General features: G+C 45.4%; 1 pseudogene, besides 3 other annotated features; it reads left to right on the top strand.

Annotated features, from left to right (window-relative positions):
* Nucleotides 5252-5546: an enhancer, noted in NCBI's record as "tiled region #1493; K562 Activating DNase unmatched - State 5:Enh". NCBI's record gives its function as "activates a minimal TATA promoter and a strong SV40 promoter by Sharpr-MPRA in K562 cells {active_cell/tissue: K562}" and the evidence as "EXISTENCE:reporter gene assay evidence [ECO:0000049][PMID:27701403]".
* Nucleotides 5921-6794: an enhancer, noted in NCBI's record as "H3K4me1 hESC enhancer chr1:110186678-110187551 (GRCh37/hg19 assembly coordinates)". NCBI's record gives its function as "activates a minimal SCP1, AML or CMV promoter by ChIP-STARR-seq in naive H9 embryonic stem cells {active_cell/tissue: H9 hESC(naive)}" and the evidence as "EXISTENCE:reporter gene assay evidence [ECO:0000049][PMID:30033119]".
* RPL7P8 (ribosomal protein L7 pseudogene 8) lies at nucleotides 13221-13823 on the top strand (annotated as a pseudogene).
* Nucleotides 17682-17731: an enhancer, noted in NCBI's record as "active region_1449". NCBI's record gives its function as "activates an Ori minimal core promoter by ATAC-STARR-seq in GM12878 lymphoblastoid cells {active_cell/tissue: GM12878}" and the evidence as "EXISTENCE:reporter gene assay evidence [ECO:0000049][PMID:35858748]".

Here is a 17901-nt window from a genome sequence, read left to right on the forward strand (position 1 = left end):
GTGGCATGATCTCGGCTCACTGCAACCTCTGCCTCCTGGGTTCAAGCGATTCTCCTGCTTCAGCCTCCCAAAGTAGCTGGGATTACAGGTGCCCACCACCACGCTTGGCTAATTTTTGTATTTTTAGTAGAGATGGGGTTTCACCATGTTGGCCAGGCTGGTCTCGAACTCCTGACCTCAGGTGATTCGCCCGCCTTGGCCTCCCAAAGTGCTGGGATTACAGGCATGAGCCACTGCGCCTGGCCTCATGTGTGTCTGTTTAACTCCGCTGAGCTCCCTCCTCTCACTTTTCCTACCACCTTGGGCCTGCGCACCCTCTGGGAGAGCCCCTGCTGGCTCTGAATCCCAGTGCACCTCCTGGGCAGCTGTGGAGGCTTGGCGCCCCACCCTCATCTCAGCCTCTTTCGCCCCTGCTCCTGCTCTTCTACTCCTGGCCCCATCAGCTAACTCCCATTTATCTCATTTCTTTCCCTGAATAACTGTTCTTTTTAAACCCTCACAGCAGCACTGTGTAGTATGTATTAGCGTTATCCGTATTTCACAGATGGTTATCCTAATGCACAAAGAAATTAAGTAATCAGCTCTGGTCACTCAGCGGTCATCAGGTAGAGCCAGGACTCAGCCCCAGGCCCATCTGACTCCAGATTCCAAGTGGAGCCATTATGGCGTATCTTCTCCAGTGGACTGGCAACCTCCAGAATCCTGCATGACCAGGCTGTCTCAGAGCATCTGAATCTCACATCAGCTGAGACACAGCGACATCCAGCCAGGATACGGCTGAGATAAGCGGCCTTCGGGTTTTGTCACAGGGTAGCAGGGGAACCTGGGACAATACCCAGCGGCCCACCAACTGCTCCCTTGTTGGGGAATATTCCTTGCCTCGTAGCGTGGGTGAGCCTGCTCCTAGCTGGTCCTCCTGCCTTCCTGATGGCTTCCTCGCTGCCTCCCTCTCTCTACCCACCTCTTCCTTCTCCCCAGCAGGCCAGGAGGCCAATACCTGCTGCAGGTGCCTCGCCTTTCCTTGCAGCTCTTTCCTCAGAGCCTGGAGTCAGGATGGAAGTTGGTTGGGAGAGAAGCAGGTGCTGGGGCAAGGTGGAAGGAGGAGGGGCGAGAGGAGGAGAGGCTTCTCCATGGTGTTCATCGAAAGCCCTGGGTGGACAGATGCAAGATGGACCAGCAGCTGGTGTTCAGGAGGCCACTGGTCAGGCCCTCACTCCGTTCCCTCATGCAAATGTGACTGCCCATAGAAACCAACTCCCTCTAACCCAGCACACAGGAGCTGATAAGCTACTTATCAGCTTACAATAAAGACTGAAAACAACAAGCACAGGATTTTTTTTAAAAAGTCAACCAGAAGTGGCTTGATGAGCAATATATTGGAACCAGGGTTTCGAAGAGTCTGGGTCAGCCCTGGGCCTCCTTCTCCTCTGCACCCATGTGCACTTGAGCAGAGCCCTTCTGCCCAGAAAGTGCCTTTGTGGGTTTAGAAAAAGATGTCCCTTCCTTGGGTAGACACAGCCTCCTGATGGGGAGCACAGCTTGGCCAGCAGAGCACAGGCTGGCTTGCAGTCTCTGATCACCCAGAGGCTCTCGCGCAGCATGTAACCCACCTGACATCTGTGTCAGCCTGGCTGGGGGTCTCTGGAGTGCCCACAGCCTGAGGGTGCACGTGTAGCTGCATTCTCACTGATGCCACTAGTTCTTGTGCCTACTCTTGGAGGATGTCACCTATCCAGGTCTGAACGTTCCAGGCAGCATCCTACATGAGTCTGTAAATCAACTGAAGCTCCAGCAGCCCCCACTCCACCCAGTTGTGTCCTGCAGCTGAATACTTCTCAGTGCCCACAGAGCTGCCAATCACCTCGGGTTGCCATGGGAGTGTGCATATTCATGCCTCAGTGTCCCCAGAGTGGCCGGCCAGAGCCCCACCCTGAAGAAGCCCAGTGCACGGCTCTCTCCTTTCCCTCTGTCACGTCCTCTCCCTGTGCACCAGATACCCTGCTGGGCTGCTTGAGCCCTGGGGTCACGCACAAACCCAGAGCTGAAACATCCTCATGCCACCTTTGTGTGAGTTAGGAAAAGGTGAGCCTCCTGGGCAGATATACCCCTGAAAGCTCAAAGAACGAAGGGCATATTTTGGTAGAGTGTCTCTCCCTCCAGGTGACTGCAGCTGTGCAGCCTGAGTTTTTGGGTGAGCAGAGTGTAGGCTGGGTTTCAGCTCCTGCTTGCCCTTTGGCTGGTAGTCCTTGTGCAGTACCCAACTGGTCCACAGGGTGGCGGTACCTCCTGAGAACAGCTTCTGCCTGAGGCTGGGTTCTGGGAATGGATGGGCTGGGGCACCCTCTCTAGGCACCCATGCCCACTAACTCTGCAGCGGGCACACTTGGGGCCCCACTCACCAGCCTGGTGGGCAGGCTAGCTCATGTATGACCCCTCCAGTGAGAGCTATGGCTTAGGCTCATGCCAGGATCCCTACTAGGAGAGCTGCACTGCCACTAGCTGAGGTGGACCCCGTTTCTGCAGGGCAAGGCTGGAGCCACATGCACACACTGGCTTTTTGCCTGTCCTGTCCTAAGCCCCCACACCACCCACATTATCTCGTGACCACATTTTTCCTCCAGATAATGTGGGCCATGTGTGGTTAGGCCATATCTTCTTTTACATCGGCAAAACCTAATGGGGTTTCCAGACTCCTGCTCTTCATGTGGAATGCCTCTGAATTTCTAGATGATGTCTGCAGGCGTGTTTTGTTTTTGTTTTTCAAGACCGGGTCTTGCTCTATAGCCCAGGCTGGCATGATCTTGGCTCACTGCAACCTCCACCTTCGGGCTTAAGCAATCCTCCCACCTCAGCCTCCCGGGTAGCTGGGATTATAGGCGCACACCACCACACCCAGCTAATTTTTGTACTTTTTATAGAGATGAGGTCTCACTATATTGCCCAGGCTGGTCTCAAACTCCTGGCTTCAAGCAATCCACACACCTTGGTCTCCCAAAGTGCTGGGATTACAGGCATGAGCCACCATGCCTGGCCTTTCTGGGGGTGTTTATTTCATCTCTGAGTGGATTTTCCAGTAACCTTCAGAGCTTTGAGGAAGGCCTAATTGTCAGCCTCATAGACTGGTCACACCCCAGGAGATAAAGCTCCTTGCTAAGAGCCCTGGCAGAAGATTACATGGGCTGTGGGTAGTCAGGACATGGAGGAAGCTCTAGGGTCTGGGGCACTTGGATAAGTCTCCAAGGAGGAGATTGGCTTTGACCAGATGGATGGGGAGAGCCTGCATGGAGGAGCAGGAAGGAGGAAGGCATTTGGGGACTGTGTTGGGGGCATCTTCCCATCCTGCTCTGGTGTGGGGTCAGTGCTCCAAAGGCCCACGGTAGAAGAGGATGGCACTGCCCTTCACTCTCAGACCAGTGCCTCCCTGAGATGGAAACCAGAGGATCTCCTTGCCTCCCTCAAAGAGAGAGAGAGAGGCTCTGCTGGCACAAGAAGCTTGTCCCATGGCACTTAGTCCAATAATTGTTCCCCGTGTGTGCTTAGCCCTGGGAACCTGCTGATCTTGGGTAAGGACACAGGGCCATAGCAGAGCCCAGGAAGGACACTTGGGGCTCCAAGGTTAGGTTCTTGGTATTAAGGTGAGAGACAAAATGATGGCCCTCTGACTGAGGAGATTTGGCTTAAAGAGGATGACCGAGCTCGCCACGTGGCACGGGATAGAAAAGAAGATTTGCTGGCCTCTTATGGAGTTAGGGTTGGGGTTGGCATGGGCTACTAGAGGGGAGGTGGTGGGGCCAATAGAGAGGGACAGGTCTGCAGAAAGCACTTTTCTATCCAAGCTGTAGGCCTTGGGTTTCTCAGTCTCACCCACCCTATCCACATAAGCCTCAGCGCAACTTTACACCCACTAGGATGACTACAATAAGACAAGAATGGAAAATCAGTGTTGCAAGGATGTGGGGAAATTGGAACCCTCATAATTGCACGTGGAAATGTACAGTTGTGCAGCCACTATGAAAAACAGTTTGATGGTTCCCCAAAATGTTAGAATACAATTACCACATGACCCAGCAATTCCCCTCCCAGGTATATTCCCCAAAGAAGTGAAAACTGGCACTTCAAAAATATATGTACACTCTCTGGGCATGGTGGCTCATGCCTGTAATCCCAGCACTTTGGGAGGCCGAGGCAGGTGGATCACCTGAGGTCAGGAGTTCGAGACCAGCCTGACCAACATGGTGAAACCCTGTCTCTACTAAAACAATACAAAATTAGCCGGATTACATGCCTGTAATCCCAGCTACTTAGGAGGCTGAGGCAGGAGAATCGCTTGAACCCCTGAGGCGGAGGTTGCAGTGAGCCGAGATTGTGCCACTGCACTCCAGCCTGGGTGACAGAGTGAGACTCTGTCTCAAAAAATAAATAAATAAAAATTATACACACACACACACACACACACACACACACTCATGTGTACAGCAGTAATGTTCACAATAGCCGAAAGGTGAAAATAGTCCAAATGTGCATCAACAAATAAATGGATAAACAACATGTGTTATATCCATATAATGAAATATCATTCAGCCATAAAAGGGATAAAGTACTGATTCTTCCATTCAGTGGATGAACCTGGAAAACATTATGCTGAGCAATACAAGCCAGACAAGACACAAAGATCACGTGCTGTATGACTGTATTTATGTGAAATACCCAGAATAAGTAAATCTGTAGAGACATATACAGATTGGTGGTTTCCAGAGGCTGGGGAAGTGGGGTGATGGGAAGCAACTGCTTAATGGGTATGGGTGTCTTTTGGGGGTGATAAAAATATTTTGAAACTGGATAGAGGTGGTGGCTGCCCAACATTGTGAATGTACTAATTGCCACGGAATTGTTCACTCTAAAATTGTTCATTTTATATTATGTGAATTTCACTTCAATGTAAAAAAAAGAAAAAAACCAACCTCAGTGTTCTTAATAGTAAAAAGAGGCTAATAACACTACTTATTTCATGGAGAGGTGGTAAGAAATAAAATAATAGGCGCAAAGTAGCCACCATTCAGCTATTGAATAAAGGGTGGCCAATGTTCTCCGAATGCTACTTTCTGGGGTTGCACCAAGGGTGCTCCAAAACTCTTTCTTGGTCCCTGGGGAATGTGGCTTAAGTTCCTGCTCAAAGAACCGAAAAGCCCAAAGAGCTGTAGCTGCGAGGTGGCGCCTAACGGGCTGTCCCTCTACTGTGGTCAGAGCCGTGCCCCTTGCAGGTGGGTAGCGCTGAGAGCAGAGCAGCGCCCGCGGGACTGGCCTGAGGATCCCGCAGGCAGGAGGGACCCCGCGGGCCTTTCCCTACCTGGGAGGTGCACGGTTGGCCACCAGGGCGCGCTGCTGGACTCTCCCCAGAAATCGGGCGGAGGTTTAGGCCTCAGAGTCACTTAAACTTGTAACCCTACCGGTAGCCGTGGAGTCTAGTAAATGTGGGGTCGGCTGGGGTTCGCCAGTCATCCCATGCTGCTGAGGGGCAGGCATGGGGCCCGTTGGCCACAGGAGACCTCCAGGCTTCTCTCCCACTCTTCTGCCTGCACCCCCTCTCGGGTAGAGGCTGCACCTCCTGCTTGGGTTCAGCCACCTTCAAATACTGCATCAATGGCTCGTGCCTCTGCCTGCGGGGCTGGGCCAGCGCGGGAGAGGCAGGCGGAGGGTTCAGGGAGCTGGGGATCTGCGGTATGTCCTGACCCCACACACTTTGTGTGTGCCATAAAGCCACAGCCTTTCCTTCCCACCCAGCCCCGTCTGAATGAGAAAGCATCACCTCTGCTTTCTGTTTGATCCGGCAGTTCTCAGCCAGGCTGGAGGCGGCCTGGAATCCCAGATCGTCTACTGACACCCCTAGTTTCCCTCGCCGCTCCTCTGGAGGACGTCCTTAACCCCTGATGCTGCACCACAGGCAGAGCTGCCAGAACCCCACCACCACCAAGATTGCTACCTGGAGATTCCTGCTTGTCCCCCCAACCCCAGGTCAAACCCCTGCATGCATCCATGGCCCAGCTCCCGTGTTCTGGGGCCATCTTTATAACCTGCTGTGCATTCCTGCCAGATTGAACTCATTGCCTCCCCCACTTGACCTCATTCTCTCTTTGTGCACTTGCTTTCTTTTCTTTGCTTTTTCTTTGTCTTTTTTTTTTTTTTTGAGACGGAGTCTCGCTCTGTCGCCCAGGCTGGAGTGCAGTGGCGCCACCTCGGATCACTGCAAGCTCCGCCTCCCGGGTTCACGCCATTCTCCTGCCTCAGCCTCCCGAGTAGCTGGGACTACAGGCGCCCGCCACCACGCCCAGCTAATTTTTTGTATTTTTAGAGACGGGGTTTCACCGTGTTAGCCAGGATGGTCTCGATCTCCTGACCTCGTGATCCACCCGCCTCGGCCTCCCAAAGTGCTGGAATTACAGGCGTGAGCCACTGCGCCTGGCCTCTTTGTGCACTTTCTTTGTATTTAGGGAAACAGCAACAGTAAACCCCAAATGACAAAGGTCATTACAGGGACCTTTTTTGCAGCCAATGATGTTTGTGTTCCCCGGTGCACTGCTCTGAAGCTTTCCCACGCATTCGGGCTCAGGTCTCTCTCCGGCATGTCTGCTGCCTTGTTTACTCCCCGCTTAGCGTGTGTTTATAGGATCACATTACACGAAATATTCCAGCCTTGTGAAGTAGCATTTCTTGCTGATAATGAAAACAAAAGACACAAAGAATTCTAAGAAATGCCTACAGTGCTTGGCACGTGAGGGCCTCTTGGCCTAGGGCCAAGTTTGTCTACTATCAGCCCCCACGGTGTCTGGAAAGTCTTGGATTGTTGTTGGCTCTTTGGATCCTGTGGTTTCACCCTGCAGCGTTTTGTAGGCAGTGTGGTGTCCTGGGTAGACCCAGGTCTTGGGGTTGACTGGACTGGTCAGATACAACTTGGTGACTTGCTAGCTGTGTGTCCTTGGGCAAGTTACTTAATTTTCCTGAGCCTCAGTTTTCTCATCCATAAAATGAGGGAAGAAAGAAATAATTCAAAGAGATGTTTTGAGAATTTGGTGAGGAGGTATATATAGTAGACAAGTCATAGACACTCAGTAAGTATTGGCTGGGATTATTAGCAAAAGCAAATAAGCCCCTTCTTTAAAGGGAACATAGCTTTTTTCTAAACCCCACTGTCATACTTAAATTGGTGATCAAGAAGTTATGTTTCTCAAGACACCCAGGAGCAGAGGCCAGGGAGAAGGATGTTCCAGGGCACAGGGGAGACCTGGACTGCCACGTGCACTTAGGGATGACCTGCACCTTCAGACGAACAGCAGGAAAAAAGACTCTTTTCCACTTCTCCTGGTTTGAGGTGGAGTTGGGCCCCCTGTCTGAGTAGGGTGAGGTGGCTGGCAGAGAGCTGGATGCCCCTTCCAATAGCTGGCCAAAGGTAGCAGAGGCAGGATTGTTCTCAAAGGAATTAGGTAAAAGCCCCGCAGCCAAGTGTGAGATCAAATCTCAGAAAATATCAGTACTGGGCTGGGCATGGTGGCACCGTGGCCAGTCTTAGCTGGACAGTTTTAAACTTTCTTTTCTCGGGGCTTTTTTTTTTTTTTTTTTTTTGAGAAAACAAGAAGATTGGTTACTCTAATTAAATATAATAATGAGAGTAGATGGTTAATTGTACTGGATACACTAATGCAGAGAGATACAGGTATGTGTACAGAATAAGGTATGATTTTCTGTTTATTTAGAAAAGTTACTACAGTTTATTCAAAATACATTTAATATACACATATTTTATTCAATTATATTTTAAGGCTATAGTTAAAAGCTTTAAAGTAATTTTTGCTATTGAGTTGTGGGAGTTCTATATGTATTTTGGATGTTAGCTAACCTCTTCTCAGATATGTGGTTTGCAAATATTTTCTCCAATTCCATAGACTGCCTTTTCACTGTTGTTTCTTTTGCTGTGCAGAAGGTTTTTAGTTTGATGTGGTTCCATTCGTCTATTTTTGCTTTTGTTGCCTGTGCTTTTGATATATAAAAGAAATCATCGCTTAGACCAATGTCATGAAGACTTTCTCCTATGTTTTCTTCTAGGAGTCTTATAGGTTTAGGTGTTATATTTAAATCTTTAATCCATTGTGAGCTCATTTTTGAGTGTGGTGTAAGACAGGGGTCCAATTTTATTCTTTTGTATGTCCATATTCAGTTTTCCCAAAACCATTTGTTAAAGAGGCCATCGTTTGTCCATTGTGTATTCTTGGCACCCTGTTGAAGATCAGTTGATTATATACACTTAGGTTATTTCTGGGCTGTCTGTTCTGTTCCATTGGTCCTTGTGTCTGTTTATATGACAGTACCATACTGTTTTAATTACTATAGCTTTGTAATATATTTTGGAATCAGGAAGTTGATGCCTCCAGCTTTGTTCTTCTTTCTCAAGATTGTGTTGGTTATTTGGGATCTTTTGTGGTTCCATATGAATTTTAGGATTATTTTTTCCTATTTCTGTAAAAAAATGCCATTAGAGGCTGGGTGTGGTGGCTCATGCCTGTCATCCCAGCACTTTGGGAAGCCAAGATGGGTGGATCACCTGAGGTCAGGAGTTCGAGACCAGCCTGGCCAACATGGTAAAACCCCGTCTCTACTAAAAATATAAAAATTAGGCAGGCATGGTGGCGGGTGCCTGTAATCCCAGCTACTCGGGAGGCTGAGGCAGGAGAACTGCTTGAACCCAGGAGGCAGAGGTTGCAGTGAGCTGAGATCGCACCACTGCACTCCAGCCTGGGCAAGAGAGTGAGACTTTGTCTCAAAAAAAAAAAAAAAATGCCATTAGATTTTGATAGGGATTACATTGAATCTGTAGATCAAAGTAGCGTGAACATTTAAACATTATTAGATCTTTCAATCTATAAACATGGGATGTTTTTCCATTTACTTGTGTCTTCTTTGATTTCTTTCATCAATATTATGTAGTTTTCTTTGATTTCTTTCATCAGTGTTACATACAAGTCTTTCATCTCCTTGGTTGAGTTTATTCCTAAGTATTTTATTCTTCTTGGTGCTATTGCAAATGGGATTGTTTTTTGTAATTTTCTTTTGGATACTTTGTTGTTAGTGTACCAAAACATAACTAACTTTTGTATGTTGATCTTGTATCCTGCAACTTTATGGAATTTGTTTATTCATTCTAAGTTTTTTTTTGTGTGTGGAGTCTTTAGGGTTTTCTACATATAAGATTATGTCATCTGCAAACAGAGATAGTGTTACTTAATCGTTTCCAATTTGTATGACTTTTAAATTTCTTTTCCTTGCCTAATTGCTCCGTTAGGACTTCCAGTACTATGTTGACTAGAAGTGGCAAGAGCGGGTATTCTTTGCCTTGTTCCTGATCTTACAGACAAAGCTTTCAGTTTTTCATTGTTGAGTATAATGTTAGCTGTGAGCTTGTCATATATGGTCTTTATTTTGTCAAGGAAAATTCCTTTTATACCTAGTTTGTTGAGAGTTTTTACTATGAAAAGATGTTGAATTTTGTCAAATGCTTTTTCTGCATCTATTGAGATGATCATTTGATGTTTATCCTTCATTTTGTTAACGTGGTGTGTCACATTAATTGTTTTACATATGATGAGCCATCCTTGCAAAGGACTTGAATAGACATTTCTCAAAAGAAAGCATACAAATGGCCAACAGGTATATGAAAAGATGCTCAACATCACTAATCATAAGAGAAATGCAAATCAAAACCACAATGAAATATCACTTCACACCTGTTAGAGTGGCTATTGTCAAAAAAAAAAAAAAAAAAAAAAAAAAAAAAGGTAAAGAAAGTGAGACAAGCTCCCAACTGGTAACAAGTGCTGTTGAGGAGAAATTGGAACTTTTGTACACGGTTGGTGGGAAAGTAAAATTGTGCAGCCACTGTGGAAAACAATATAGAGGTTCATAAAAGAATGAAAAATAGAACTACCAAATGATCCAGCAATCCCACTTCTGGGTATATATTCAAAAGAACTGAAGGATCCCAAAGAGATATTAGCAGTCCTTTGTTCATTGTAGCATTATTCACAATATCCAAGACATGAAAATGACCTAACTATTCATCAACAGATGAATGAATAAAGAAAATTTGGTATGTACATTCAGTGAAATATTAATCAGTCTTAAAAAGAAGGAAATTCTGCAATATATAACACTATGGATGAACCTGGAGGACATTATGCTAAGTGAAATTAGCTCGTCACAGAAGAACAAATACTGCATGATTCCACTGACATGGGGTATCCAAAATAGGCCAACTCATAGAAACAAAGTAGAATGACGGTTTTCAGGGGATCGGGAGAGGAGGAAATTAAAACCAATCCAACTGTCCAGAGACAGTTTTTGTTTTGTTTTGTTTTGTTTTGTTTTGAGACGGAGTCTCGCTCTGTCGCTCACGCTGGAGTGCAGTGGCGCGATCTCGGCTCACTGCAAGCTCCGCCTCCCGGGTTCACGCCATTCTCCTGCCCCAGCCTCCCAAGTAGCTGGGACTACAGGCGCCCGCCACCACGCCCGGCTAATTTTTCGTGCTTTTAGTAGAGACGGGGTTTCACCGTGTTAGCCAGGATGGTCTCGATCTCCTGATCTCGTGATCCGCCCGCCTCGGCCTCCCAAAGTGCTGGGATTACAGGCGTGAGCCACCGCGCCTGGACATAGACAGTTTTTAAAAAATAAACTTAAAGCTTGAAACTCACCAGATCCAGACAATTAAATACCAGGCCTCTCAGAAGGTATCAAAGAACGGAAACTCACCAGATCATCACATCCAGACAATGAGATGCCAGGCCCCTCATTCATCATGATTGCTTCCTTAGCCCTTCAGAATTCCTGTTTTCCCATACATTGTTACATTTTTTTCTCTGCTATATAAACCCCTAATTTTAGCCAGTCAGGGAGATGGATTTGAGACTGATCTCTCATCTCCCCTACTGCAGCACTCTATTAAAGCCTTCTTCCTTGGCAGTAATCATCTCAGCCGTTGGCTATCTGTGCAGCAAACAGCAGGACTCAGACTGAATCCCTGGTGTTTCGGTAACAAAATGGAGAGTTGCTATTCAAGAGGTATAAAGTTTCAGTTATACAAGATAAACATATTCTAGATATCTGCTATACAACACCGTGCTCATAGTTAACAATACTGTGTACCTGTTTACTTAAAAATTTGTTAAGAGAGTATGCGGCAGGAGAATAGGGTCTGGAGGCAGGGAACCTAAGGCTGATTCACACTGAATTTCTAGAGCTAAATCGAAAGGAAAATCCCAACTTTCCATGCCTAAGTAACAAAAGGACCAGAAGCTACTCCCTTTGCAAACCCCCTGCTTTTCTGCTCTGCAGATGGAAAATGGACAGTTCCTCTGATTGGTTGCTTTCTGCAGCCAATCAGATATTTGCATAGAAGTGTAACTTTGTAACTTCACTTCAGCCTCTGATTGTGGACCACTATTCATTTGCATGGGGTGAACACCAAGTGGCCAATGGCAAACTTCTAGGAGGTATTTGGACCCCAAAAGATTCTGAATCCGGGCTCTTGAGCCCCTATGCTTGGCCTGCTCCCACCCTGTGGAGTGTACTTTCATTTTCAATAAATGAAAATTTGTTTGCTCCTTGTTTTGTTTGTGCGTTCTGTCCAGTTCTTTGTTCAAAATGCGAAGAACCTGAACGCCCTCCACTGGTAACAAGCAGATCTCATTTTAAGTGTTTTTATTACAACTTAAAAAAGAAAGCTTTAATTTGTTACCTATTTGTATATTTATATATCTGTGTATGCCTAAATGCATACAAATAAAGGAATATTAATAGAGCCTTTATTATAATCTATTAGAAAATTATGTACCAAAGGAGTAAAATTAGGATTTGGCTCTGTCATGTAAAATGACTCAGTTGTTTTGCACCCAGATTACTAGAGGTTATTTTTTTTCACCAAATTATTCTGTTAACTCTCAGTGTTTTTCACATGCTCTTAAAACATCTTGTTAGAAATTCCCTTGGATAGCCCTGACCTGATTTTATTTGTTCATATTTTAAAATGCTATCACAGACCTAAATTCACCCTTAAAGTAGAGACCACTCCAGAAATTAAATCAGCTCCAATGACTGAAATAATTGCCTGCATCTGGGTCTGCTGGCTGCTAAAGTGTAAAAGAGTAAGCATATACACTAATGGCAGATGCACTTTTGGGGAGTCTGTGAATTGGGAATGCTTTGGAAATGAAGAGTTTTCTAACCTCCACAAAAATCTGCAAAAATTGGATGACGGATTAAAAATAAAACTTTCAGCTGCTTTGCTGTTACCTGAGGAAATAGCTGTAATAAAAGTAGACCACCATTCAATGCACAAAGACCCAGAATTTCTAGTAATACTTTAGCTGGCCACCATGCTAACCCCAGTAGCGTCACCAAGATCAATGCTCCTGCAAATCACACAGAAAAGAGGGGTCTTGGAGGATTCAAAGAGGCCATTTTTAACTGTCAGAGACAAACCCCTGATTCCCAAAAGTAGAAAAGTGAAAAAATCTGGAAGTGGGAAAAGTTTGGATGTTCATGGCAAAAGAGACTATTTGATGCTGTCAGGATAGCTGACACATAATGGCAAATGATTTAAAGGGGAATTTCAGAAAAATGCTTTGCGATATTACTCATAATAGCAGGGACAAATTGGCAACTATACTAAATCAACATTGGTGGGGGTAATTTTAGAGGTATTTCCAAGGATATTTTAAAAACTTGTCCTACTGCCAACAATGCGATCCTAGCAAATGCAAAGGTGGGATATGAACAAGAACTAAGATCTCGAGGGCCCTTCAGACCTCCAATCACTTTATACAAATGCCTCCTGCAATGGACTATAAATATGCTCTGATTATTTTGGTTTTTTTTTTTCTCCTTCAAGATGGATTAAAGCTTTTCCTTGCCGGAGAGTTATGGCTGTTATAACTGTGGCAAAAATTTCTGCTTGATTTTGTTTTCCAACCTGGAATTTCCACTTATTTCTCTAATAATGACAACGACACTCATTTTACTGGTATTGTTATTAAGGAACTCTGTAAAGTTTGCCTTTTACCCAAAAACTTTACTGTCCTTATCATCCACGGTCCTCAGGAAAAACAGAGAGAACTAATGAAATTTGACAGCTAAGATGAACAAAGCTCCCTTAAACTCCAATGGTCTAAAATCTTCTCTTTTCCAGCTGGAACCATAGAGGGTGTCAAAGAGAAGAAGAAGAAGGTTCCTGCTGTGCCAGAAACCCTTCAGAAAAAGAAAAGGAATTTTGCAGAGCTAAAGATCAAGTGCCTGAGAAATAAGTTTGCCCAAAAGATGCTTCAAAAGGCAAGGAGGAAACTTATCTGTGAAAAAGCGAATAGGCAGATGTACAGAACTGAAATTTGAATAGTGAGGGGGGCAAGAAAAGCTGGCAACTTCTATGTACGTGCAGAACCCAAATTGGCATTTGTCATCAGGATCAGAGGTATCAATGGTGTGAACCCAAAGGTCCAAAAGGTGTTGCAGCTTCTTCGCCTTTGTCAAATCTTCAATGGAAACTTTGTGAAGCTTAACAGGGCTTCAGTTAACATGCTGAGGATTGTAGAGCCATATATTGCATGCGGGTACCCAAATCTGAAGTCAGTAAATGAACTAGGCTACAAGCGTGGTTATGGCAAAATCAATAAGAAAAGAATTGCTTTGACAGACAACGCTTTGATTGCTTGATCTCTTGGTAAATATGGCATTATCTGCATGGAGGATCTGATTCAAGGGATCTATACTGTTGGAAAAGTCTGCAAAAAAACAAATAACTTCCTGTGGCCCTTCAAATTATCTTATCCACGAGGTGGAATGAAGAAAAAGGCCACCCATTTTGTAGAAGGTGGAGATGCTGGCAACAGGGAGGACCAGATCAACAGGCTTATTAGAAGAATGAACTAAGGTGTCTTCCATGATTATTTTTCTAAGCTGGTCAGTTAATAAACAGTACCTGCTCTCAAATTGAAAAAATAAAAATAAAATAAAATCTTACCTCTAGCTTCAGTGTGTATAAGATCAGCCCCTTCTGGGACCCACAGGTTACCTCCTTATGAATTAATACGAGGCCAAGCTGGGTGCGGTGGCTCGCGTCTATAATCTTAGCTATTCAGGAGGCTGAGGTGGGAGATTGCTTGAAGCCAAGAGTTTGAGGCTGTAGTGCACTATGATTGCACCTGTGAAGAGCTACTGCACTCCAGCCTGGGCAACATAGCAACACCCTGTCTCTAAAAAAAAGAAAAAGAAAAAGAAAAATGGCCTGTCCATGTATTTGAAAATTTCACCACCAATCTTTGATTTGGTCCTATTACAATTATGATGAAATATGATTAAGAATTGCAAGGGCGTCATAGAATACCTTCAGCTTTATCATCAACAGATATGATCTTCATTTCCAAACAACTCACCTGTGATTCACAACAAGAGATTTAGTGTTCTGGAAAAGACCTGAGATTAACTGCCTTTGATCCTCGAGGAAATGGACCTTATCAGATACTTAACAACTGACCCAGCAGTAATATTCCAAAGTATGGATCCTTAGGTAAATTATTTCCTAGCTCAAAAGACATACAATATTTCCTCCTGACTCTTGGACACCCATTCCACTGGAAATCTTAAACTGAGATTCTTAGGTATGCTCCAGAAGATGCTGACTTCAGAGGTGGATAGCTTCTGCCCAGCACTTTGGATAAGGATTAACAATCTGACTCAACACCCTTTCCTGGCTATTATTCTACTCTGAAGCCATCTAAAATATTAATGTTAGCTTCCTATTTTCATCCTATTATTTATTTATTTATTTATTTATTTATTTATTTATTTTTATTTAAAAGCCAGGGTCTCACTCTGTTGCTCAGGCTGGAGTACAGTGGCACAATCATGGCTCACTGCAGCCTCAGACTCCTGGGCTCTAGTGATTCTCCCACCTCAGTTTCCCAAGTACCTGGTATGATGGGCACAAGCCACTGTACCTGGCCCTCATCCTGTTACTTCTGACCTCTTATGTTCTCTATCTACCACTTAACAGAAAACAAAATTTTCTTATACTTTTTTTTCCCAAACCATTGCTGCCACTCTGAATCTAACAACCCTGCTGACAAAAATTTCATAGCTGTCCTTTTAAAACCTTCACAAGGCAACCTCCCTTTAACTGGCTCCTTATGGTAATTATGTTTCACTCACATCATTCATCCCAACCTTCAGTCTTGCAACAATTGTGCTTAGACTTCGTGCCAACAAATTGCTTCTGCTGAGGCCATTACAAGGCCAATAAATCAGGACTAATATTGGGTCTATTCTGGCTACCACGGTTGTTTGCTTTCTTCAGAGACATCTGAGCCTGCTTTGCAGAAACTATTTAATTCCACTCAAGGAATCTGTCCATCTTGAGGAACACAAAAGTGACTCATTCCTATTGTAATAAATGATACTTAATACCAGTATAATCAGTGCTCCACTAAAATCCTGTTTCTTACATGACATCAGGATCATTCTGTCCACTGCTACCCTGTGATTCCAATGAATTGTTAGAGATTGCCAGATATTTAAAACTATCATCCCACCAGGAAATCATGTTTTCTTGAAAAAGATATACAGAAGTGCCCAGGCGCGTTGGCTCACGCCTGTAATCCCAGCACTTTGGGAGGCCGAGGGGGGCAGATCACCTGACATCGGAGTTCGAGACCAGCTTGACCAACATGGAGAAACAGTGTCTCTACTAAAAATACAAAATTAGCCGGGCATGGTGGCGCATGCCTGTAATCTCAGCTACTCGGGAGGCCGAGGCAGGAGAATTGCTTGAACCAGGAAGGCGGAGGTTGTGGTGAGCCGAGATCGCACCATTGCACTCCAGCCTGGGCAACAAGATTGAAACTCCATAGAAAGAAAGAAAGAAAGAAAAGAAAGAAAGAAAGAAAGAAAGAAAGAAAGAAAGAAAGAAAGAAAAGAAAGAAAGAAAGAAAGAAAGAAAGAAAGAAAGAAAGAAAGAAAGAAAGGAAAGAAAGAAAAGAAAGAAAGAAAGGAAAGAAAGAAAGAAAGAAGGAAGGAAGGAAGGAAGGAAGGAAGGAAGGAAGGGAAGGAAGGAAGGAAGGAAGGAAGGAAGGAAGGAAGGAAGGATACCCAGAAGCTTCTAAAATGAGGAAAGCACAGATAATCTGGTGGACCATCCAGGAAGGATAATTGATTTCTCTCATACAAGATGCAATTCCCATAGTAGGAATAAAACAAGATATATGCAGCAAAATTTGACAGAATTGAAGGGAGAAATAGACAGTTCTACATTAACAATGGGAGGCTCTAAAACCCCTCTTTCAATTATGGAAAGGCTGAGACGGAAGGTAAGTAAGGAAATGCAGAATGTGAACACACAATGAACCGGTTAGATCTCACAGGCATGCAGAAAATAACCTGACAACAGCGTGCACATTCTTCCCCAGGGCACCACTTCCGCCTCCCTCATCCCCACTGCTCCCGATCCCTGTCCACAGACCCACTTCCCGCCCTGGTGTGATCCTCGTGGCCACTGTGGCCCCTACTTTGGAGATCCTGCTGGTCCAGTTCTTCCCGCCTTCCGCAGAGCCGTACTCCTCCTTCTGAAGAAGCCACCTGGGACCTGGGCCCCGTCTTCCTGGCTCCTCAGAGTCCTTGCAACAGCAGGCACCGCTTCTCTCTCCTACACTCAACCCCTCTCCCACTCCACTGCCTCTCAGTGTGCAAAAACAGTAAGAAGTGTCCCGTATTTTCAAAATCTCTCCCCTGTAGTTCCCACCTGACTTCTAGTCGTAGGTGGCCAAAGTACAGTGTTTTTGAAGGATTGTTTTATTCCCAGTGCCTGGAATATGGTAGGATCTCAACAACTGTTGTTTCAATAAAGGAATGACCAAATGGGTGAATACTAATGTAACAATATCAATTCTGTTTCTTTCATAATTATTCTCATAAGTGTTAGCTTTCTTAAAAAATCATCTTCACAATTGGACCTAGACATTTTATCTTTCCCAGCTCAAGATGGATAAACTCAGAATGACAGGCCAGGCACCGTGGCTCATGCCTGTAATCCCAGCACTTTGGGAGGCGGAGGCGGGTGGATCACTTGAGACCAGGAGTTCAAGACCAGTCTGGTCAACACGGTGAAATCCCATCTCTACAGAAAATACAAAAAAGTTAGCAGGGCGTCGTGGCGCTCGTCTGTAATCCCAGCTGCTCGGGAGGCTGAGGCAGGAGAATCGCTTGAGCCCGGGAGGCGGAGGTTGCAATGAACCGAGATCGCCCTACTGCACTCCAGCCTGGGCAACACAGCGAGTCCCCGTTCCAAAAAAAAAAAAAAAAAAAAGACTCAGAATGACACATTCTTAATGTCTTAATGTATAATGAGAAGTATAACTATTCAGAAGTCCAAGCACTTGTGTGTGCATGGTGCTATCGTCTTGCTGTAGGCAAACCTACATGGGAATCCACCTTGACACATAGGCCACTTCCTGAGCCTGGACCCAGTCTCAGAGCTGGGGAACTGGCCCAATGCAAAAGGGTCGGGAGCATCTGCAACAGAGACTGAGCTCTATCAGCTTCGGTGACATAGCCTCCATTCACGCTCCCCAACTCAGCAGAGAGAGCACACCATCAGACTTCTAAGACTTAGTAGCCAAGAAGTGTTGAATTAAACTCTCTGAGACCTCTCTTTAGTCTGACCCTGGCAGCCTCAGTCTCCCAGAGCCTGTGGGAACTCGGCAGCCGAGAGGCAGAAGGCTGGGCGACGTCCGGAGAAGAAGAAACGGGGGAAGAACTTTTCTCTTACGATCTGGCTTTACTCTCACGCGCACAGCCGAGTCCCTGGGGACCCAG

This window comes from Homo sapiens, chromosome 1 (genome assembly GCF_000001405.40).
Source record: "Homo sapiens chromosome 1, GRCh38.p14 Primary Assembly".
NCBI classification, from domain to species: domain Eukaryota; kingdom Metazoa; phylum Chordata; class Mammalia; order Primates; family Hominidae; genus Homo; species Homo sapiens.